Consider the following 25,164-nt stretch of genomic DNA (forward strand, 5'->3'; position numbering starts at 1 on the left):
CAATTCTACATGTAAATGATATCATTCTGTATTTGCATCTCATTTGGGATTTGCTGGCTCATGTAATGGTTAAGTTCATGTAACTGATAAGCTTCAGAAGTGGATTGGTCTGAGGCTCAGGTGCCACCAGGGCCCAGGCGTTCTTTGTCACTCAGCCCTGTTACCATTTCCCTGCATTTGGGGGTGAGTTGTCGCCAGCTGTCCCCAAGTGGTTGCTGCTACAGAGTCAGATCTCCCAGCCTCCCAGGTTCAGCCAGGGAGAACCAGCCCCTCAGCGTCCTGGAAACCTCATGGTAACCTCACCAGGGTCTCTGATGGGGCCCTTGTCCAGCCTGGAACACTGGCTGCAACCTGACCTCAAGAGGATGCTGCCTGTCCCTGCCACCAGGGGACTAGATGGCTGCAGGTCCTGGTCACAGTCCTACTCCAGGCTGCCGTAGGAGACTAGAATGAGGGATCTTGGTGGGAGTGCAGTGTTGTCGTTATTGTTATTCTTGTTCCTCCCTATTTTTCTTTCTTCTTCGTTGACTGGAAATAAAATTCAAGGCATCTGTAATGTAATTCTAGGCTAGTTAATAAGAGGTCACATAGCTGAAACAGTAGTTATAGCATGTCTCATCTCCGTTCTAGGCAACAAAAGCCATGACCCTTATTCCTGGTTATTAATAACCTTCGTGATCACCCCCATAATCACAAACTCTGAATGGGGTTTCTTGCCCTTGTATGGAGAAAACACCTTGGACTTTTTTTTTTTTTAATGTGATGAAGTTTTGCAGCTTCCAGTATTCACCCATCGGAAGTCCTAGTAAAACTCGATTCTCCCCCCACTGACCGGACATGATCCAAGCATAAAATATCCATGAGGCGGGTGAAGAAGGAAAAAGTATTTATACATGTTCTGAACCGAAGCTGCTGGACTTTTGCCCACAGAAATTTTCAGTTCCAAAGAAAATTCCAGTGGTAACTTCTTGGTACCGCTGGGATGTGATGGAGGGAGATGGGAGTTGAAGGTGCAAAGCAGGAGCCTTCCTGGACCATGAGGTGAGAGTTCGGGTGACACAGGAGGAGGTCATGGACAACAGTCCACAAGGGACCTCTCCAGAGAAGGCTGGACTCCCCCCTCTTCATTCCCCAGCACTCTCTGACCAAAGTGGACATGGCCACAGAGAATCCACTCGCCTTCCACATCAGACCACAGCAGGGCTGCTCCGCCCAGTGCCCTCAGTGGCAAGAAAAGCCAAGGGAATGCCGAGCCTGGCCACCATGTGTGAGCCCTGTGACTGTCCGTCCTTACCAGAAGGTGTCATGGCAGCTGGCATGCTGGAGGTATGGCAGCCTCCCCAAGGCATGGGTGCATGCGCTCTCCTTGGACTTCCGGCTGTGTTGTCCCTTCTGCAGGGCTTAGAGCTCCATGTTTGTGTTCCCAGCTCCTCTGTCCCCTGTGAGTGGCCGTGTCTCCCTCCCCGGCCCTGACCCATCATCACCTTTGCTGCTCAGCAGCCCACTTCGAAGCATTTCTCTCAGCCTCTTGTACTGGGAGTGTCATGCCTCACCCTCCCCAGGAATAGTCGGGAGAATTACACTGTTGTCTCCATCAAGTTAAAAGGGTCTTGGGCAATCATTCTGTCCAAGGGAAGGCTGACCATGAACTTGAGAGGAATCGAGGCATTGAGCAGGGAGTTCTAGAAAGTATGTGGCTCCCTCAGCTCCTACTCGCTCCAGCCTTTCTGACCCATGCAAGCACTGGCACTGCACGACCTCCTCTTCTCGTTGTTCTGGGATGGTCTCACGTTCACACCTGCTGTCTCCCCAGGTAGGATTTAAGCTTTTATGGGGTGGAATAGACAGATGCATGAAAGGAGTTGATGTTTTCATTTCTTTAACTCCATTTTGAAATAGTTACACATTTACAAAAAGTTGCAAAAATTATATAAAGCATTCCCATGTATCCTTCACCCAGCCTCCTGAAATAATACATAACCACAGCGCAGTTATCAAAATCAGGAAATAAGCATCGCTACAGCAATTTTAATGACTGTATAGTCACTCTTCAGATTTTGCCCCTCGCCCTGCGAATGCCCTTTTTTTGGTCCACATTAAATTTAGTTGCTTGGCTTTCCTAGAAAAGTTGCTGTCTTGACCACTTACTATGTGTTAAGCACTCTCCTAAGTTAGGCTGTTTTCATGCTTCTCATTTTGTTCTCACAGTCTTGTTAGTTAGGCTTCTATTTATTGTCGACATTTAACCAGAATGTGAATATAGTTTAAGATAGCTATAATGGCTAGAATGAGGCTCAGAGAAGTTAATTAATTTGACGGAGGAAACACAGCCAGTAAACAGCAGCACTAGCCTTTGAAGCAGATATGTCTGCTTGGGAGGGAGGCTGAACTTCTCACTCATGCATCTACACAGCCGGGCAGCTAGGCCTCTGGTCACCCCATCCCACATTCCTAATGCCTTTCCTTTCCTGTATACCCACATATTCGTATATTCTCAAGTGTCTAGCACCCTGCTAAATATATAGCAGGAGTTCAATAAAGGTTTTGAGTGGGATTGAACGGTCCAGGTATTTGATAGAACTTAAGTAGGGTTTGAATCGCAACAACATTAGTGCCATTTTTTTTTTTTTTTTTAGCTTTTGGCTTCCAAGATGGTGTCATGTTAGCTCTTTGAATTTATTTCTCAGTAATGAACACATGGTGCTTAGTTGACCCATTCATTGCTTTCAGGTCAAAGTTGGCAATGAAGATTCTTTATCTGTGGCTGGAACTCTCTTGGTGCAGACCAAGTGATGTGTTCATGGCCCTGGGCACCTTGTCTCCCCTCGTTGCTCCTCCTGGCATGTCCATCAAGGACCAACTGTGCATTTGCAGCACTTCCTGGATGACTAAAGTTTCAAAAGAGTGCTCTAAGAATAAAATATGGCTTGACTGGGTGTTTGTTCAATATGACAGCTGATTTAGGAACTACATTCCCAAAGAGTGCTTTCCGAAGGAGAGCCGTCTCTGGAGGAATATCATATGTCTGTCCTGTGACATGGTGGCAGGTTTTTCAGTGATTTGGTGAAGCCCGAGAAGATGTGTTGATCCAATCTGCAGATGACAAATTTATGAGACAGCGCTAACGCAAAAAATGACAGACTGAAACTACAGAAGGCCTCGACAGGCCAGAACACTTGGCTGAAACCACAAGATGAAATTAAACAGAGATATAAGTCAAGGCCTGCATTCAGGCTCCAAAAAATCAATTGAACAAGTGGTGGAGAGGGAAAACCTAGATTTATAGCCCTTCGTGTGCAAAAGATGTGGGAGGGAGTTTTAATAGACCACAAACTCAACGGGGAGCCAAGAGTAGTTCTGGCTCCTGGAGAAGGACCACAACCCTGTACTACATATCCCGAGGAAGAGCACATGAAGAAGATAAGCAGTCTTCCCACCGAGCATGGGGCTGGCCACATAGCACCTTGAGGATTCTTCTCAATTCAGAGGGTCACCTTTTAGGATGGAAACTTAGAAAATGCATATAAATATGTGTTCATATTGTGTTATAATATTATGTGATAATATTATTTATAGTATATTTGTTCAAAGCTGCAAGCTGTCCTAAAACTGATACCACAAGAAATAAAAACCTTTCAAGAGGTCCTCATTAGCCAGAGCAGTGGCTCTCAACCTGGGGTAAGTATTAGAAACCCATGGAGCTTTAAATATTTCATATCCTACAATGACTGATTCAGTAGGTTTGGGTAGAATCTGATGTCTGCATCTTCAAAAGCTTTTTAGGTAGTTCTGATAAATAGCCAGGACTGAGAGCCACTGGCCTAAGGAACACAGTCTGAGCTACTCAGCCTGGCTCAGTACAGGTTTGCCTCTCAACCATCCTTCCTACCTAATATCCACTGTCCTCTTGTTGAGGGTTGAATTTTGTCCCTGTAAAAGATATGTTAAACTCCTAACTGCAGTACTTGAGAATGCAAGTTTATTTGGAAATAGGGTCTTTGCAGATGTGAGGATGAGGTCATACTCCATCAGGGCGGGCTCCACTCTGATACATCTGGTACAACAGGTGTCCTTATAAGAAGAGGAGACAGACATGAGGAGAAGGCCATGGAGATACAGAGACACAGATGCAGAGGACGGCCACCCTGTGAAGACGTGGGCAGAGAAACCTCAAGCCAAGGACTGCCCATGGCCACCAGAAGCTGGGAGAGGTGAGGAAGGATCCTCCGTGGTGGCTTTGGAGAGAACGCAGCCCTGCCCACACCTCAATCTCAGACTTCTGGCCTCCACAACTGAGAGGGAACATGTTTCTGTTGCTTTAAGCCACCTGGCTGTGGCCCTTTGTCACAGCAGCCCTGGGAAATGAATCACCCTCTTCACAAAGTCCTCACTCCATAAGACAAAGGCCTTCCTTATCCCTTTCCCTGTCCTGGCCTTTGCCACAGTCCTCTCAGACTTGCCAAGCCTGCACGTGCCCAAGTCCTGACCCCACCCCTAGTTCCTGCTCTCATGTGTGTCTTTCCTGAATTACCAAAACCTCCTGTTCCCAAGGGGCACTAGAATGTTGCCTGTGAGGGCCTCGGCATCCTCAGTACTTTCATTCCGGGCTCCCCAGTCCTGTCAATGGTGGAGATGATGAATTGTCCACCAGAGCCATCCTCCCCTGGTCCTGGCTTCTGGACACACAAGCAGATTGCACAATCCCACCTCCAGGGATTTGACTAAGTTTCTGCCACAGAAACAGAAACAAGCATGGTGTGCACCATGCCCAGGCCTCTGCACCCACTGGCTGGATCCGACTCTCCCAGCTGAGCCTTGATATGGTAGAGACCCAGCTTCAACTGCAGAAGCAAAGGCCACATCCTGCCCGGGCCGTGGTGAGAACAGGACGGGAAGGAACTGGGCTTTGATAACCCTCTGGTGCACAGCCCAGCGCCCACCCAAACACCTCCCAGACCAGCACTGCATCTTGCTGGAGTTGTCATCTTGTTGGGACTCTGTCGAAGCCGTTTCACCTTGTCCCAGCTAATACAACACAGATCTTGTCGTCCTACTAAACTGTGAGATATTGAGGACAGCTTCCATGACTGTCATTTTAGTAACTGAAACACCTAGCACACTGCTTTATATGTAATACATATTTAGTAATTTTTTTTTTTTTTTGGAGATAGGGTCTTGCTCTGTTGCCTAGGCTGGAGTGCAGTGGCACGATCTTGGCTCACTACAACCTCCACCTCCTGGGTTCAAGTGATTCTCATGCCTCAGCCTCCCAAGCAGCTGGGATTACAGGTGCCCACCACAACACGCCAGCTAATTTTTTTTTTTTTTTTTTTTTGAGATGGAGTCTTGCTCTGTCGCCCAGGCTGGAGTACAGTGGCGCAATCTCGGCTCACTGCAAGCTCCGCCTCCCGGGTACACGCCATTCTCCTGCCTCAGCCTCCCGAGTAGCTGAGACTACAGGCGCCCACCACCATGCCCTGCTAATTTTTTGTATTTTTAGTAGAGATGGGGTTTCACCGTGTTAGCCAGGATGGTCTCGACCTCCTGACCTCGTGATCCACCTGTCTCGGCCTCCCAAAGTGCTGGGATTACATGCGTGAGCCACCGCACCCAGCCAACACATGGCTAATTTTTGTATTTTTAGTAGAGACGGGGTTTCACCATGTCGGTCAGGCTGGTCGTGAACTCCAGACCTCAAGTGATCCACCCATCTCGGTCTCTCAAAGTGCTGGGATTACATGCATGAGCCACCACCCCTGGCCTCAGTAAATATTTTAAGTGCCTGGAAAATCATGAGAATCCTTATAGAGGAGACAGCTAACAACAGATTTCATGGCCATCTTGAGGCACTCAACAGTCTGTTGGGCAAAAATATGGGCAATTCTTGTGGTTGTAGAACTGAAAAAAATATGGAAAAGCAAACGGAACTTCCTGGTGTCCAAGCACTAAACAAACTGCCTGGAGAAAAGGTGAACCTGCAGTGTTTGGAAGTGCTTTGGTGGAAACAGTGGCCACATGGCTAGGGTCCTGGCAGTGGAGTTTAGAGGAGAGTTTCTAAATGATCACAGAAATTGGGGAGGCCCTTGTGTGTAGACTGTCTTTAAAGACTTGAGGCTGGATGAAACACCTGGGGAGGGATGCCATACAGGGAAAAAGAATTGGGGAAGAAATGACCTGAGGACAGTCTGGGAGTGGGCACCATCCAGTATTTGGGGGTGGGGGAGATAGGGAGGGTCCCAGGGAGGAGAATGAGAGGGTCCTGAGCTGCAGGTGCCCCCAGGGAGTGAGGTCCCTGGAGGGGAAGGGATGGCTGTGGCACACTGCTGAGGGGTGAGGATTGGATGTGAGCATGTGCTGATCTCGGCAGGAACTGTTTCAATGATGGGATCATGGCAGGGGAGTGAGAAGGACCAGACCCGCCCCCCAGCCCCCCCACCTCCAGGCTTCTTGCTTTGCTTCCTGCCCTGGAGTGACCTGTTCATCTTGGAGTTCCGACGTGTCCTCTGGGAATCCTGGCACACACTGTAGGTGAGCTCAGGATGTGCCTGTGGGTGCCTTTTCTCCCCCAATGAGATGCAGGATAATGGCTTTCTGGTACATCCCCAGAAGCCTCACAGTAGCTACTGGAGGGCTTCATTTCCAGAAACGCTGTGCTCTCCTCCAGCTGCTTAGGCTAAAACCTTGGAGTCTTCCTTAACTCCTACCTCTCACCTCATGTCCACCCAGGAGTAGAACCTGCGGGCTCTACCACCATCAGGTGCCCCGTGCGGTCCTTTGCCGACCACTCCCGTTAGCCCCTGTAACCCACCCCCTTGTACAAGCTGCCTCCCACATCGTGGCAAGGGCTCCCCTCTGTCTCCCCCTCCTACCTTGCGCTGGGGAGGCTCTAGTCCCCCTCCACCCCCCATGAGTTGCCATCTGCCAGAAATGGGAGTCCAGTCTTCTTACTGCTGTGCCCAGATCCCCCCGCTGCCTCCCATCTCCTTCACAGCGATAAACTAAGCTCTCACTGTTTTTACACTGAGAAGGTGGCTGCAGTAGATTCTGTAGCAACTTCTAGGACACCAGAGCTCTGCCTGAACCAGAGTAGGAGCTCCTGACTGCCTGGAAATGAACCGCACAACGCAGCACCTGGTATAGCCTGGTGAGCGAGCACAGCCTCGGGTCATGGTGCCAAGGTGCCAGGCACCACCCTTTAGGTCTCGAAGTCCATATTGGAACTCCAAGATGAACAGGCCACTCCAGGGCACAGAGCAAAGCACGAAACCTGGAGATTGGGGATCTCTTCCTCGTCACTCCCGTGCTGTGATCCCACCATCAAAACAGCTCCTGTGGAGATCAGCATGTGGTCAAATCCAATCCTCACCCCTCAGCCTTGTGCCACAGCTGTCCCTTACATCCTGGGAATCCCATACCCTGAGGGCATCTACACCTCAGGATGCTCTCATTCTCCTCCCTGGGACCCTCCCAACCTCCCCACCCCTAAACACTGGACGGCACCCACTCCCAGACTCAGCCCTCAGGTCATTCCTCTCCATTCTTTGTCTCCATGTGGCATGGTAGGTCTGGAAGGCCTCCCAGGACCTGGCTGCTGCCTCCTCCCTGCTCCATCCCAGCGCACTGCCTTCCTCACTCGGCCAAGTGCTGTCCCTACGGCAGCCTCAGGGTCTCTGCATTTCCAGAAGGTTCTTCCTCCAGATGTCTGTGTGCATCATTCCCCCATTTCTTTGGGTCTCTTCTCAAAAGTCATCTGATCCAAAGGCCTTCGGGGACCCCATCAAGGCCTCCCGGCAGCTCCTGCCTTCACTCGATGGTTTTGTCTTTTTCCCCACAGAGGCAATGTGAGTTCCATGGGGACAGGGGCTTTGTTCATTTGTGCATCTTTCCCTGGCATCCAGAAGAGTGTCTGGCATAACAATGAGACCAGCAACTTTTGTGGTACGAATGCAAGCATACTAGTTAATTTGGGGGATGATCCTCATTCAGTAATTGCCAGAATCTAGGTATTTTATTGTTGAAAGATACTTCCGGTATCAACTTAAAGAAAAGATACTTCTGGTAGCAACTTAAAAGATACTTCTGGTAGCAAGTTAAAGAAAAACTGTTGAGATCATGGTACTCTTTCCCACACTTTGACTAGAGTTGACATTTAATAATGATCAGAGCCATCACACTAATATTCAGCCATCGTTTTCACATATTCCATGAATATTGACTGAGAGTCACTGGGCCAGAGGATGGGCTAGGGGCTGGGATGTACAGTGGTGAATGGAGACTGTCACTGCATCTACCTTCCTTGGCTTCCAGGCTAGTGGCAGAGAGATGTTTTGCAAAAATCACAAAAATACGCTTATAATTACACATTCAGGTGAGTGCTATGCAGGAGCAGCACAGGCATGCTGAATGACTGACTGAACATGGAATCCTTTCTAAAGAAGTCACATTCAATCTGAGCCCTAAAGGGTGGTACCTGGGGCCTTGGCACCCGTGACCCGAAGCTGTGTGCGCTGGCCGGGCTGTACCAGGTGCTGCGTCCTGTGGTTCATTCCTGGGCTGTCAGGAGCTCCTACCCTGGCTAAGGCAGAGCTCTGCTCTCCTGGGAGTTGCTACAGAATCAACTGCAGCCACCTTCTTGGTGTAAAAATAGCATCTCCCTCTGCTTACGGAGTTGGGTTGCTCAGCAACCTGTTTTTTCCCTTTTCTTTTTGAATCTCCCCATACACTGATTTTCACTGGCCCTTCAGAGATCCACTGGGGAGGGCTGATTGGCCAGGGCTATCTGATGGGTCCTGCTGCCAGGAGCCAAGGAGGCCATGAGGCCACGGGAGGCAAGCAGGACTCCCACAGGTTCGCTGGTGCCCTGCAGCCCCTTGCCCTGTGAGGGTGATGGGGGCTGAAAGAGAGGGGCAGGGAGATGTGCTCTCTGTCCTAGAGACACGTGGAGGTCTGTCCAGTCAGATCATTCAAAAATAAAGACATCTGGGCGGGGCGCAGTGGCTCACACCCGTAATCCCAGCACTTTGGGAGGCCGAGGCAGGCAGATCACTTGAGGTCAGGAGTTCAAGACTATCCTAACCAACATGGAGAAACCCTATCTCTACTAAAAATACAAAAATTAGCTGGGCATGATGTCAGGTGCCAGTAATCCCAGCTACTCCAGAGGCTGAGGCAGGAGAATGGCTTGAACCCAGGAGGTGGAGGTTGCAGTGAGCTGAGATCACACCACTGCATTCCAGCCTCAGTGACAGAGCGAGACTGTGTCTCAAAAAAAACTACAAATAAAAATAAAAAAAAAAGACATCTGACCAGTGGGCACACATCATCTCTCTCTCTCTCTCTTTTGTCCCTCTCTGTCTCTCTCTTTCTCTGTCTCTCTGTCTCCAACCCCCATGTGTATATACACCTAGTTGTAAAGAAGGAGAGATTGTAGTTGAACACCTTTCTTCCAAACCCAGTGAGTATTGGTTATAATTGGTTGGTAACAGAAAAAGGATTACAGGACAAATCAGAGACAAAGTTTACTTCCCCCTTCTAGGCTCCAGCTCGAGGCCAAATTCAATAATCAATCTATAAAGGATAACTGCAGCCTTCATATCTATCCAACATACTCTCATAGTTCCTGCATGCCACTGTGACAATTACACAGCAAAATATACGATGTTCCCTGAACTAACCAGACTAATGATAACAGGCCCCTGACTGAAGCCAGGAGCAAGTTTGTGTTTAAAACCAGACCTGGGCACTCTCTTAATGAGCGAAAGGCCCAGTTGTAGGTCACGGTCATGTGCACAGCCAATAATAGGAGAGGGAGAGCCCAGGCTGCGTGGGATGAAGCACTGTAGACAGCAGCACGTTCCACCTCGGCCTCCACGTGGACTCATCCACCGAATTCTCCACCAACAGGCTTTGATGATTCCGCAGCGAAACATTCACCCACTTGGAAGCCCCTCATCTATCAGGACCTGGCCCTGTTTCTGTGGCGTCTCCAGCTCCTGGCTCGATGCCCAGCAGGAACTCTGTGCTCCCCCAAGGCTAGCTAAACAAATGAACCTCCACACCACATGGCAAAAAGGGGCACTTCTCCTGTTATGCCCAGCTCCACACCAGGTATGTCTTCAATTCACTTTCTAGAGTTATTCACCTAAAGTATTAAAAATGACCATTCTCTCCTCTGTTTTAAAACAGCCGGTGGCTCCTGCGGCACAGAGAACAAAGCCCAGGTCCTCATCAGGGCTCCGGGTCTCACGTGGGCTGCCTCCACCTCCCCTGCCTCTCATCTGGCTGCTCAGCCCTTATTACAAAATGCCCCGCATGGCCAGGCACGGTGGTTCATGCCTGTAATCCCAGCACTTTGGGAAGCCGAGGCGGGCGGATCACCTGAGGTCCGGAGTTTGAGACCAGCCTGACCAACACGGAGAAACTCTGTCTCTACTAAAAATACAAAATTAGCCACGCATGGTGGCACATGCCTGTAATCCCAGCTACTCGGGAGGCTGAGGCAGGAGAATCACTTGAACTTGGGAGGTGGAGGTTGTGGTGAGCTGAGATTGCGCCGTTGCACTGGTCTGGGCAACAAGAGTGAAACTCCATCTCAAAAAAAAAAAGAAAAGAATTTGTTTTTCTCATTTTCTTTGTTCTTCTCATTTATTTGTCCCCATGACTAAGCCCAGCCCGTCACATAAAATTATCCAACAGACATTAGCTGATCTGATATGCACGGTTGAGGTCAGAGTATCCAGATATATTTATTCATTCCATTGTCCAAGTTGCTTTTCAAACAGTCCCAGTCCATTATTAACTACTGATCACCTTTGTTCTTACCTCATTTGTGTGAGCTGTAGGAAATCATGGTCAACAATTATTTCCAAATTGAATAAAAACAAATTTTGTATATGTATATGCAATCTATACCTAGGACTGCATGGATCACATATGCAGATTAGATTTCTGTCTGACAAGCTCATGGTCTTCTCGGAATCTTTGTTCAGAAAAGCCCACCCCATATTGACTGACTGCACGTCCACTCCTCTGGCCACAGCCCTTGTTTCTCAGAGATCTGCAAACAGATGCCATGATTTGAACCTTTGCTTCCTCGGCTGGATTTGTGTGATGCAAAAATGAGCAAGCGGCAAGCCGGCTGCCGAGCTGTGAGTGTTTTACTTTGATCGGTGTTTCTGGATTCAAGGTCAAATGATCAGCTGACTGTTTTTTATCCCAATTGGTGGGTTGCTTTTGGCATCACATGACATGCATAGGTGGTGCACCCCTGAAATACTTCCTCTCTTTTCTCTTGCTTGATATGGTGTGAATTCCCAATACTCCCTCACAGAACTGGCTCTCTTCGGCATTCCTTATTTCAAAGAATAGTTATCTGTGGCAGCACTGGCTCACTGACACTGGAATTTGTGAGCCCATCTAGAGAAGGAAGTTCTAGGAGGTGGCTACCCACCAGCAATGATATTTCCTCGCCATCCTTCCCATTCCAGGTGTGGCGCACGGGCTGTTCTTGCCAGTGGAATGTCAGTGGAGGTATCAGCATTGTTTCTGGGCCAAGACTGAAGGGCAGATATGTCTTCTCCACACTCATCATCCTTCCACAGTCTGGACACAGGTAACAGTGAGTCCCTGGAGAAGGCAAGGCTGCAGAAGAAAAGGTCCTGGGTACGTGAAGGAAAGCTGCCCAGACCAGGAACACACATTTTATACTGTTAAGTGAACCAGAAATAACTTCTGTTGTGTTTGAGCCTTTTATATGTGGCCTATTTGTTACAGCAGCCGGCATTACTGTTACTAACACTACAAATTGAGCAAGATAGAAACACAGAAGTCATTCCTGACACTTTTTTCCTCATCTCCTACATTTAACTCTTTGTCAAGTCCTGTTGCTTTACTTCCTAATTAAAATTGAGGTATGATAAAGGAGAGTAATAGGATGTTTGTAAGTTAGGTGGGGTTCGGTTTTTACAGAATTTTGTAAGGGTTCGAATTTTTATTCTTCTGCATTGGGAGCTCATTGGAAAATATTAATTAATGGTATTTCATATGGTTTCAGTTTTTAAAAAACTTTTTCTGCCTGCTCTGACTACACTGCAGTGGAACATGGAGGAAGGCTAATTTGCTTAGAAGTTGAACTAGTTTAGTAATAGTGAAGATGGAGGAAAGTAGATGAATATAGGATTCATTTTGGAAGGAAAGTTGATAGAACTTCTTTAGGGTTTGAATGTGATGGGTACAGGGAAGTGAGAGATCAATAATGAGAGAGTTTTGGTTGGAGTTTGGTGCCACATATTGAGACTAGGAGACAGAAAAGACAATTGGAGGAAGGCAAATAAGATTTCTCCTTTAGACATGTTGAGTTTGAGGTTTCAATAAGACGTCCATGTGCATAGATCCAGTAAACTGTTGTATAACAGGCCGCTACTCATCGGAAGTTGGAAGGATAAAAGGTGGAGGTAACATTTTGGGAATTATTTTCATAAAGAAGGTGATTAAAGCCATTACTTTGGATGAGATCACCTGGGGAGAAAGTGTAGATACAAAAAAAAAGCTGAGTACTCCAACATTTAGCAACAGAGAAATAGAGAACAGCCAGGAGGAAACAGGAGGATGAGACGTCCTAGGAACCAAGGGAAGAGGGTGACTTAAGGTGGAAGCAGTCACCTATGGAAAAGAAGAGGGCATCAAGAAGAGGGCAGAGAAATGGCCAATGGATTTAGCAAGAAGGAGGCCACTGGGGACCATAACAAGGTTAGTTTCACTGGAGTGGAGAGATGGAAGCCTGGCTGCAATGGGCCAAGGAGAGAATCTCAGCTGAGGAAGTGGGGATGGAAACATTGGTTTCAAGGGGAACAGAGGAGTAGGGCAGTAACTGGAGAGAATTATAGGACGTAGGAGGGTTGTTATACCAAAGATGAAAGATATGAGAGAATTTTTAATGCTGAAGGGAATGGCCAAATATAAAGGGAATAATTGGTGGTATAGTAAAGAGGAGGGTAATTTCAAGACAAAGTCTTTGAGAAGAGAGAGGGGACGGAATCCGAAGCAGCAGTGGAGGGGCTGGTCTGTGTTGGGGTGAGGCCATTGCATCTGCCTTAGGAGAAGGGAAATGCGGAGACCTCCATGGGTCTGGATGGGCCTACATTGGGAAAGAGACAAGGAAGTCTCTATGATTGATCTTATTTTTGCAATGAACAATGAAGAGAGGTCATTGGCCAAGAGTAAAAAGAAACTTAAGAATCAACCCATACAGGAAATTAATACCTAATTTCTTAGACTATAAATATAATCACTAACTTTAATTTTTCAAAATAAAGTCTCGCTCAATATTTTTTCTCTCTTTATGGTACAATTTTTTTCCCTCATTTTGGTCAAATCCTTCTAAGGAGAGTTTTCTAGGCAGCAAGATTTTTTGGAGGGCAAGGATCTCCTATACTTCAGATTATTAAACAAACAAATGTAAACATAAGAAAAGAAGTATTCTTTTTATATTTCACATTTCTCTGAGTTAGAATGTCTCAATTTCCATTAATTTCATTTACTGTTTTTGTGTTCGCTTAGTACTGCATTTGTGGATAACCATGGAATCTTACTCAGAAAGATTCAAATCCAGTGTGAGTCACATTCAACTCTCCTTCTTTTTATCAGCAGCATAAAATTGGTCACATTCAAAGACTTTCACTGAACAATGTCTACCAAAAGTAATTTGTCTACTAATTAATAGATTTGAGTTTTCTTTGTTCTTTTAGCTCTTGTGTCATATTTGCCTAAATTCTTTTATTATTTTTAGATATTTCATGTCTTTCATTATTTAGTCATTATGAGCTTTTGTGTAATAGAATATGTTATTTACTGTATACAAGGAAACATCACCACTCTCCAGTCTCCAAACTACCACAGATGTAGATGTTTGTAAAGAAGTGTTATGCAGAGCCAAAGCCATTCAACTACATAAAGTGATTTCTTTAACTTTACAAAAGTAATATTTTCATACCATAACCTTACTAATTTCAACCAATTCAGGAAATTTACTTCAAATATTGGAGAAATGAAATTTTGTATCATAAATAAATGAAATTTTATTATATTTATGTCTGCAAAGTCTACATAGAGGTTGTTTAAATTAGTAGACAATATTAAATTGTTATTTCTAGCCTAAGTTTACATACATGCAATTAAAAGCAATTCGACCCTTAAAAATCTCGATCTTTTATATGTATTCATCTTTCTTTAATAATCATTAAGAATCTTGTCCATATCTATTAATTTCACTAACAAACACTTTTTATTAACTGTCAATAGCATGGTTATACTTGTAAGGAGTCTAAAACACATATGTATATACATATATGAATTTAAAGATTAAAAATACATATGTTTATATATTTTAAATCGCCATTTACATGGTAATTTAAAAAATTCTTTTCTTTTTCTCTAATTATCTGCAGTAAGCATATAATACTTTTTTAACTGAAAAAAAAACAACAGCCTCCAAAGAATGAGAGTGACTATTAAACACTTGCAAGTGCTAAAGATTCATAAAATCCAAATATTAACAATGTTGGCCTGGAGCTGGAAAGACTGCATGCAACAGTGACAGCACATGGGGTTTCCCAGATGTCAGGTTTAAAAACAAAGCAGTAATAACCTTACCTAGTTCTAGACACAAATCTAGTCATAAAAGTAATAGTATACGTTCTTGTAATTGAGAAAAATGTGTTATTTTATAAAACAATTTTTTTCCTTCTTTCTTTGTTCCTTTTTACCTTCCCTTTTTCTCCTTCCTTCCTTCCTTCCTTCCTTCCTTCCTTCCCTCCCTCCCTTCCTTCCTTCCTTCCTTCCTTCCCTCCCTCCCTCCCTCCGTCCCTTCCTTCCTCCCTCCCTCCCTTCCTTTCTTCCTTTCTTCCTTCCTTCCTCCCTTCCTTATTTCCCCACATGAGACTGGTGGCAAAGCCAGTGATCTTGGAATAGTAGACTCCTGGAGAAGAGCTTAAAGTCACGTAAGACCCTTCTTTGTCACAAAGTCCTTCGGCCAGTACTGCTCCAAGGGCGCAGTGGAAAGGAGGAAGCTCTCCGTTTAGCTTTCCCAGCATAAAACCATTTCACACTTTTCCCAGCCTCCTATGAACTCACGTCCTGAGATCCTTTCTCCCTTCTCTACCACTTGCCTTCTTCAGGGACCTGTCCTAGGATCCACAGTGCCGAAGTCACTTGAATGACAGGGGTTATGCACTTGTCTTTCAAGGTCCTGTAGAGCACTGTTTTTCAAACTCCAGGTCTCAAACCAATAATCAGCCATGAAATGAACTTGGTGGGTCCCAAGCTAGACTTTTTATAATGAAATAATAGATAATGGCTTCAGAAAGTCAGATTAGGACAAAGCAAGGTGAAAGAATGGAAATAATGGAAAGGTAAGGTGGAAGGAACATCTGGGAAGGGGTCCTCTGGCAGGTGCCAGAGAATGCACACATGGGGAGGAAAAGGAATCCATGGAACAGAGAAAGCCTGGAATAGGAGAGGTGCTTAGGGAAGAGAACACTTAAACGCTGCCCAAAGGGCAGATCCTTTCCCTTAGGATCAGGAGTTCTAAGAGGCACTGAAGAAGCCCAGTCCCTGGGTTGCAAAAAGTAAAGAGACTATTGGCCAAGAGAGGTGAAGTAACGTGACCAAAGTCACACGGTAGATCGGAGTCCAGGTAAGTAAATTAATATCCAAGACGGCCTTCGCTCCTGGGTTGCAGAAGGAAGGAATGCAAGTGCTCACAGCCCTGTCCTTGCTGGACAGGTCTTGTGAGGTAGGGCTCTGTCTTGGGACCTTGACCCTTTCTTTACGGGCCAGGCAATCACAGAGCAGGGCCTTGTGTTAGGAGGACTCCTCTGCATATTTTCAACTAGGTTTTGAACTCATCAGGACAAGCAGCCTTGTTGGCTTATATGTAGCAGGAGACTATTCATGGTGATGGGGCCAAAACCCTGGCTGCAAGGCACAAGGCTCCATCGCCCAGAGTCCTGGTGCAGTGCAGGCCTGCCGCCGTGGTTGCAGGATTCACTGGTCCTGGTGGGAGATTCAGGATCCGGGCCATCACCACATCTCTTTCCCCAGAGGTGGGTAACACTGTTCCCAGCGTGGAAGGCCAGGGGCATAGAGGCTGAGGTGTGAGGGGTGGGCGAGAGCCTCCCTCTGAAAGAGCAGCTGCCCTTCCCGGGAGCCTCGCGTTGCTGGAACTGGATTCAGGTGCGAGTCACTTCAGAGACACTCTCTGTGCATTGCACAGTGGGAGCCGCACTCTCTCTGCAGACTCTGCAAAGAGGAGCTCTGAGGTTTGGGCTGAGAGTCACTGGCCGCCCTGAAGTTTGTGGCCTCAGCTTCCTTTCCCCCTCATCATCCTGCTCCTCAGCCAGGTGTCAGGGGTTCGTGTGCTGCCCTGACCTGAGTGCCATCGTGGTTTGTGAAATCCAGCAAGAAGGAGGAATAAAGCACCCTGCAGGAGGAGCGGATGCCTCAGACCAGTGATGGGCCTCCCTGCAGCAGTGGGGAAAGGACCGTGGAACAGCCCAGAGCAGCATGGATGAGGGCTGAGGCCGCGCCCAGAGCAGCATGGGTGAGGGCTGAGGCCATGCCTGGACACCTCTAGCTCTGCAAAATAGTTTGTTCAGAGGCAGAGAGAAAATTGTAGTCAGCTCTTAGAGAGAACAGGCTTCAGTCATTGCTACCTAAACCAACAAAAGAACTAACAAAAAACTACACCTCGAGCCTTAGGACAACATTGGAAACCCAGAGAAGAAGAGGGTGAACTTTAAACAAGTGTCGTTCTGGAGTCAAGTCAGGAACTGAGGAATATGTTTCCAAAAACCCGGAGGAACCTCTTATTTCAGCAAATGCTTGGGAGAGGAGGAGCAAGAACACTTTGAAAAGTAAGGCTAAGTTTTGCAGCCCCAGAATAATCTTCACAAAAATTATTACGAGGAAGCAAGGACAATGGAAATGAAGCCACAGGAAGGAGTCGGGCTCTGTCCCTGTTCGCAGAGAGCCAGCGAGGGCTGCCATGCAGGACTTCACACACCTGGGAAGGCTGGGTCTTGTGTTTTGCTTTGTTTCTTCTTAGAGAACGAGAAAGTGCCTCCCAAAGGAGACAGTCCATAAACAACACCCACAATGGCAACCTAAAATGTCTTGGGCTACCGTTGGGTTGGAGAAACATGGAGAAAAGAGAAAGGGGCTTTAAGGAATTGCAGAGTACTCAATTTTGCTGGGAGTTGCTGATTCTAAATGTGGGTTCCATTCACAGCAGCAGAGGCCACAAAAGAGAATCCACATACAATCCAGCACGGGGGCCAGGAACCTTGAATGCACGGGCTGCATGCGATAACACCAAGGCAAGTCTAGTGAAGGCTGGAGGTGTCCCCCTGCCAATTCCGTGTTGTATTGTCAGAGGAGTGGGCACTCCAGATGCCGCTTTTCCAGAGGGAAGGCAGCCTGCCAAGACAGACCTCTTCCCAGAACATGGGGACTCCAGCATCCCAATCCGTGAATAGGATGTGTCTTTTCACTGAGTAGTAAATCTCCAGGGTGGAGCCTTGTCAAGCGGTGTGTTTTCCATGGCACCCTAGAACAGCTGAGCCAGAAAGCTGCTCTGTGGTGAATCTCCTTGAATTTCTCATCTGCCGTCTTCCTCCACCCACCACACGCTGTCCACTGCAGCCTGTTAACTGAAGGACACGTCAGAAGTGGGCTGCCTCCTAGAAACTCGGCTTTTCCTTAGAAAGCAGTTGTTTGCATTGTGGGTTGATCCAGTGGACACATTTTGGGTTTGGAGCTGTGTGTCCAAAATGGCAATGAAGATCTGGAGAAAGGTGCTTCTCTGTAGAAAGCTGTGTCTTGGTAATTCATGGAAATGTTGAAAAAAAAAATGGAACACAAAAGTCAAACTTGATTTAATCGATTTGAGAGGAATTGAAGGTGCCACATCAGTCCAGGGAAAAGGAACTGCACTGCGGACTTTGAAGAGCCTGACTTTACACACTCCCAGGGCCCCTGGCTGGGGCTGTGCCACACAAAGGAAGAAAGGAGGAAAAGAGAGGCCATGAAGTTACCTTGGGTTTTGAGTACTCTGTGGGCAGGTCTTGAGCTGGCAATGGGAGCCACTTAGATAAGAAATTGTACAAAGTTACAGCACATTTTTATATTGCTCGCTGTGTTAGTTGCTGTCTGTTGGACTCGGACACCGTAGCTTAGGACAAATAGGAGATACAATAGAAAATGGCTTCCTGGTTTTACGCATATTATGGCTGCAGGATAATAATTGAAGCAATGGCCTGATACGTCACAGAGGTGGCTGGGAGTGACGTTAACAAGGCATTCATAGCAGAGTTTGAGGGATGTAACTGGCTGCCCCATTGGTTCCAGGTGGAAGCATCAGAAAGCGAATTGCTCCTCCCCGGGTGGTGCCAGGCCTGCAGGCAGCTTCTCACCTGCTCCTCTTGCCTAGCACAAGGGCTTCCCAAGGGTGGGAACAGTCCCTCTTCTGGCTTCTCACTTAGCTCAGAGCCAAATGCCTTAGACCAGCCTTCATGGCCTGTGGGTGCTCATCTCCCAAGCCCACCTTGACAAACCTCCCCTCACTCGCTTCTCTCCTACCACCCCAACTCCTTGCTGTTCCACCAAACCCAAACTTCTCCTCCAAAGGGCTCCTTTGCTCTTCCTTCCTTCTTTTTCTCTACAAAGCCCTCTCCCTGAGTCTCTATAAGGCTCGCTCCCACATCAAACACCTGTCCCCATCACTCTCAACATATTTTTTAAAATGGATATATCTTGTTTATTTTCTCTTTTCTCCTCTAGAATGCAAGGCTCGGGGATTTTACTCTAGTTTGTTCTTTGTTGTATCCCCAGTGCCTAGAATAGTGCCTGGCATAAACTAGATGCTCAGTAAACACATGTGGCATGAATGATGCAATGTGATGACATGGAGCAATCATATCTGGGTGCAGAGACATAGAGATGGGGCCGACCAGTGTTAAGCAGGACTCAAGAGAGCGCTAAGGCTTTCATGAATAGGATGCTAGTGACAAGGTAGACAAGATGGCCAGAAAACTCAGGCAGTCAGAAAGCAGTGGCTGGGTCTGTTTACATTCCAACTCCCTCCCTGACGAACAGATGGGAATGTTGTGATGGCTCATCAGATAGTCAAACCGCATCTAAATAAATTGCTGACAAATCTGCAAAGTACAGTGCTTTCTGTTTGGAAGATTCACAAGGCAACTCATATATATAGTGTCGTGCAGGTTTAAAAACAATACTGCCAGAATAAAAACTATAATTGAAAGTTTCTTTTAATAACATCTTGGGGGTGTTAAAAGCAAGAGATTTTTTAAAAGTCTAATTTAGTTCTACAAAAGGGATAAAGCTTTAGCTCCTAGTAAAATGAATTTACTTCCTCAATTTCTCCATTTCCACCCCACCCTCAATATACTATAAAATCCTATAACTAAACTGGAGTTAAAAATGCAAAATATCCAAAGTATGTGAATAAAATCTAATGTGTATTTACAGTGTTGTACTTTGCAAAGCCAATGAGAAAGAATGTTGACTTTGGAATCAAGCCCACCTGGGTTTGAATCGCAGCTCAGCTTCATCGCAGCCATTCCAAGCCATGGTTTCGGCATCTGATCAATGCGGATCCTGATATGCACCGTCAGAGATACGATGGGACTGGTCAGCACTGGGACTGGTCTGGTGAGTATTTAATAGAGTGCTCAGCACATGGCTCATGCTCCCAAGTGGCAGCTAACAATCTATACTTTTTCAGGTACAAACAAACAAACAAACAAACAAAAAACCCCACACACAAAAAAACAGCCTGACTAATCCCGGGCTATGACAGAATTTCTAAGAATCACAATGCTATTTTTAGTTTGGTGCAAAAGTAATGGCGGTTTTTGCCATTACTTTTGTACCAACCTAATAATACAACTCAAAAATTATCATAACTTAAAAACCCAAAACATCAACATGAGTAATCAACAAACTCTTCTCCAAAATAATGCTTTGTATTAATACTAGTAATGGAGAACATTAAAAACGATTTATTGCATTGTTCTGTGAATAGTTCCCCAAAGGGCAGCATTCCTAAAATGGCAAAGACGTTACATAACTCCAAATGAGTTTCTCAAAATGACAAAATTAGAAAACAAATTTAAATAAAGAACTTCAGAGCCATAGAATTCCCCCGAACAAACTATGTACTTATGTCATTCTATTGATGAGGAACTTGAATCCCAACTTTCATCTGGTTACACAGGCAGGTCTTGAAGGGTGACTCTTCACTGCTAATCCAGTAACTCCCATCTACACTGTCTCTGGGGCGGCCACTAAAACAGAGAAGGATAAGCCACCGAAAAGGGCAGCACACCCTTCAACATGAGGCTTTGCCCCACTTCCATTCCCTGACATCAGCATTTCTGCATTTCAGTCATTCAGTGGGTATGGATGGCTCACCAGGTTCCAAGAACTGCCCCCAGGCATCTCTGTGTCCAAGACCCTTAGCTTGCCTTCCAGGCCTACCCCCAAGAGGGACTGAAGCACCTGCAAACATGCACCAGAGGAGCACAGAGCCAGCACCCAAAAGGCCTGGGAGAGGTCATTCATTTCCAAGGTGCTGTCCGGAGGAAGCTTTTGAGGGCCAGGAAGTGTGCGTTTTCCTCTGGGAGACGGCTGCCCTTCACCTTCTGTTCACTACCAGATCTTCAGGTGGATATGAAGAATCTATAGAGAGGGAAGTCTAAATATATATATATATATATCTTTCTCTCTCTCCATCTATCTCTCTTTTCACCTATCTATCTCTATCTCTATTATCTGTTTATCATCTCTATCAATCATCTATCATCTATAAATCATCTATTATTTATCATCTATCTGTCATCTGTCTATAACCTATTATCTATCTAACTATCTAACTCTCTCTCTCTATCATCTATCTGTCTATCATCTATCATCTATCCATCTATTGATCACCTATCTACACACACACACACGTATATGTATACATACATACATATATACACACACAGGCATTCAGTTGACCTCACTGGTTATGGTTCACATTTGTGAAGGCATCTACTCACAAAATATATCAGTAACTCCCACATTAACACCCGCAGTGTTGTGCTTGTTTCTGAGTGTGTGTGGAGAGGGAAAGAATCCAAGTCTTGATGGGAGCGTTCTCAGCTGAGGGTGGACAAGGCAACGCTCCACCTTCTTGCTTCAGCCCATTCTGTAAATGTGTCCTTTCTGCAGTCTACACAGTGCTACAGTTTTTGCATTTTCTTGCCTTTGATGGTTGATTTTTCAGCCTACAATGGCCTAAGCACAGTGCTGAAGTGCTGTCTAGTGTCACAAGTCGTGAGACTGCTGTGATGTGCCTTATGGAGAAAACAGATGTTAGAGGAATTGTGTTCATGCTTGAGTGTTAGGGCTGTTGGTGGTGAGTTTGATGTTAATGAACCAATAACATAAATTAAATAAGATGCCTTTAAATAGAAATACACAAAAAGTAAGGCTATGTATTACTCAGTGGATAAATGTGACCAGAGGGTCACAGGAAGCGAACCCTCTATGTCCAGTATAAGCAACTGTTTAGTATTGGCTAAGCATCTGTTTAGTATTGGCTAATGCAGTGTACATGGCAACTTTATAAAGCAACTATCTCAAATAACAAGAATCACCTGTATAAATGTGTACACATATATATACAGGTTGAACATCTCTAATTTGAAAGTTCAAAATGCTCTAAAATCTGAAACATTTTGAGTGCTGTTACAAGGCTGCAAGTAAAGAATTCCACACCTGACCTCATGTGATGGGTGTGCAAGATTATCTAAATTATTACATAAAACTACCTCAGGCTATGTGCAGGAAATATATATGAAACATAAATAAGTGTTGTGTTTAGACTTGGATCCCATCCCCAAGGCATTTCATTATGTATATGCAAATATTCTAAAATCTGAAAAAATCTGAAATCCTAGACACTTCTGGTCCCAAGCATGTTGAATAAGGACACTCAACTTGTACACACACACACACACACACACACACACACACACACAGAGTCATCCCTCAGTGTTCATGGGAGTTCCAGGACCTCCTACAGATAACAAAATCCTCAGATGTTCAAGTCCCTGATATAAAATGGTGTAGTGTTTGCATATAGCCTACACACATCCTCCTGTGTACTTTGAATCATCTCTAGATTACTTACAATATCTAACACAATGTAAATGCTATGTAAATAATTATTACACTAGATCTTAATTTTTAAATTATTTTTATTGTTGTATTGTTGTTATTATTATTATTTTAAATATTCTCAGTCCGAGTTTGCTTGAATCCAAGGATGCAGGACTGGCGTTTATGGACCTGACTTCGCACACACATCTATGTATGTATGAACGTGGAAACACACATGGGGGGACATGGCATGTGGCTTGGGTCACGGTTTCATAAAAGGAGACTCTCATGATTCTGTAACCTGTGGGGTGAAACCAAGAGTTCTCAGGAGATGGCCAGTGATGGCTAAAAGAACTATAGCAAAGACATGTGCATAAACCAGTCATCAGTGCTGCAAGGTCAAGGTCACACATGTGTGAGACAAGCCATCCAGCAAATCTATGGTTCTTGCAGTTTCGCAAAGAGATTTTATCTTTTTCTCCTAACAACTCTGACTTCACGCGGCCTCCACAAGTTCCAGGACATAAGGGTTTCTTGAATGCAGCTAAAGCATAATGTTTTTCCAAAAATTTCAATATTCTAAATATCTTAAGTGTCACCAATTATTTGTCTCCAAATAGTTTACATTAACAAACTTTAAATACTAATATTTTAATCAAAACAGCCACCCCTACATATACACCTCCTTTGGCTTGCAGTACAGTAAAAAGGGAGGCATTTCCAACTGTCAACATTCTGAAGCTGTGTTATCACACAGCTTTGCAGTTCCCATAGAAACATGTTCCATTGCCTAGGTGATGGTGATCTTATGATGTCACTAATGAGTTGAACTAACTTAGAAGACAGACGGACATTTCCTCCTGGGTACACCCACAACTTAAAGTTGCCCTCCAAGACTTACAGGGTTAATGTACCAAAGTGTAGCTTCATTGGGAGTTATGAGCACATTTCATAAACATAATTCCAGGGGTTCGCCTGTGATGACATCATTCCTTTTCACAAGGTTTATGGATATCCACCAAGTTGCCCCTCACGTTATCCCATGGAGACTTTTCCCAGCTGAGAAACAGATGCCGAAACAGAGACACAACCACTTGGGGGAAACATGCAACAGCTGTACAAAGGTGTCAAGGGGAGGGAAAAATGAAAGTGTCAAGGGATGTTGTCACCAACTCAGACAGAATGGGTCACTAGAAAAAGTGGATGAGATACGTGAACCATCCTCGGGCAGTTCTTCCTTTCCCAAACCAAGTGATTGCCAAAATGCAGGAAGATTTGCCCGTTTCAGTTTCCTTCTGTCTATATTTCAGTGTGTTTGTCATCTCATAAATGGTGTCACACACGGGCAAAGATGTGTGGAAGAGGTAGTCCCAGAAGTGTGGGGTATCTTAAACTATGTTTAAGACCAGAAACTTAAAATTGGAAAGGGGATTCCAGTCCCATATTATCTCCCAATTCCTCTCACAACTGGTCTGTTTGAATGGCAGATACAGTACAGGATGTTTCTAGAGCAAAAGTGAAATTTAGAAGATGGGATGCTATTCCACTGGTTTCAAGGCACAGAAACACTGTCCCATGCACATTTTACTTCCAAAATCATCAAATAGCATTTAGGCACTTTGTAATTAACCCAAAGGGGGCTTTCAACAAATAGCATGCATGGAACTCTAACTTGCAAATGTGCAATTAGAGTGTGTTCAAAACCAATTTTCTTTCATGAATGGAAAATGCGTCGTCAAACTGCTTGTGTACAACTAGAAGTGTGGTAACCTGGCTCACTGGCCTGTCCAAATATGAGATTAGACAAGTTCAAGGCTGATTCTGGGGGACAAGGCAACAGAAGGCTGTGACAAGGTCCCTTTCCTCAAATTGTAACGATTTTTAAAAAATTGAACAAGTAATTTGAGCATAAACCAAAAAATAAAATAAAATATTAAAACCTGATACAGACCACGTACTGCACACGAATGCTACAATGAGCAGTTACAGATCACAGAGGACCACAGTGTGTGCGGAGGGAGTGGCTGTTACACCTGCTGTCACATGCCACAGTGCAGCCCACGGTCTCTCTGCACCAGAGAGGCAGTAACACAACAGGACAGGGGAAGGGGTAGGCTCCTCCCCTGCTGGGAGTGGAGCTGGGTCTCTTCATTACTGTCTTCCTTGCTCTCTGTTTCCAGTGATGAGATGAGCCGGTAAAGATCCAGTGGACCCAGTGAGCACCCCTGGGCATTGCACACAAAATCGGAACCACACAAGGCCGTGTCATTTGACCTTGGTCCAGGGTCCTCTGCTTTTGCTTTCCAAAGAGCCAAAGGAATGGTTACAAAATCATGGCCATGTATGTGCACACCTCAAGGCTTCTTTACTTTCCTGCTTTTTCTGATACATCACTCAGGATACTTCAACTCTGTGATTCAAATGTAGGACCAACTTTGGCATTTTGATGATTATTGCTTTTACTTCCTTTTGGTTATGCTTCTGCGACAACCAAAGTCTGAGTCTAAAGTGTTGTGAATCCACCAGAAAAGGAACTTTGATATGGAGGTATCCCTCAAAATACTAACTTCGGCCATGTCATTAGGTCTGGATGCTGCACTCTAAATTTGGATGTAAACAACAGCAATCAATGAGTAATTGCACTGGCACAAAGTGGCCGTGTTAACATTGCTATGGGAACATTAATTTCAGAGTGTGTAATGATTCCATTTTAAATATTCTTTTAAAACGTTGTCAGCAATTGTCAGAACTGATGCCAGTTCCTAATTTGCAATCTGTTGATCCGAACTTGTTTCTGCAAAACCTGCCAGTACCAAAAGGTAAAATGTCTGTCAGCATCATGAAACTTCATGACCTAATTCCAAGTTCGATTCCACACGTTCTTCTCTGCTATAACTGGGTCAGTAAGAACTCAGATTCAGGACAGGACCATCCTAGGGT

General features: G+C 45.4%; 1 protein-coding gene across 3 annotated transcripts in view; it reads right to left on the reverse strand.

Annotated features, from left to right (window-relative positions):
* PDE10A (phosphodiesterase 10A) overlaps positions 1-25,164 on the reverse strand; it is a 660,764-nt gene that overhangs the window by 563,919 nt on the left and 71,681 nt on the right. For all 3 annotated transcript variants that reach the window (XM_011535387.4, XM_017010194.3, XM_017010197.3), the window contains exon 2: positions 19,601-19,725. In XM_011535387.4, the coding sequence (XP_011533689.2) occupies positions 19,601-19,658 (58 nt within the window). In that variant the 5' untranslated portion in view covers positions 19,659-19,725. The remainder of the gene's footprint in view (positions 1-19,600; positions 19,726-25,164) is intronic.

The sequence above is a fragment of the Homo sapiens genome, chromosome 6 (genome assembly GCF_000001405.40).
Source record: "Homo sapiens chromosome 6, GRCh38.p14 Primary Assembly".
Lineage (NCBI taxonomy): Eukaryota > Metazoa > Chordata > Mammalia > Primates > Hominidae > Homo > Homo sapiens.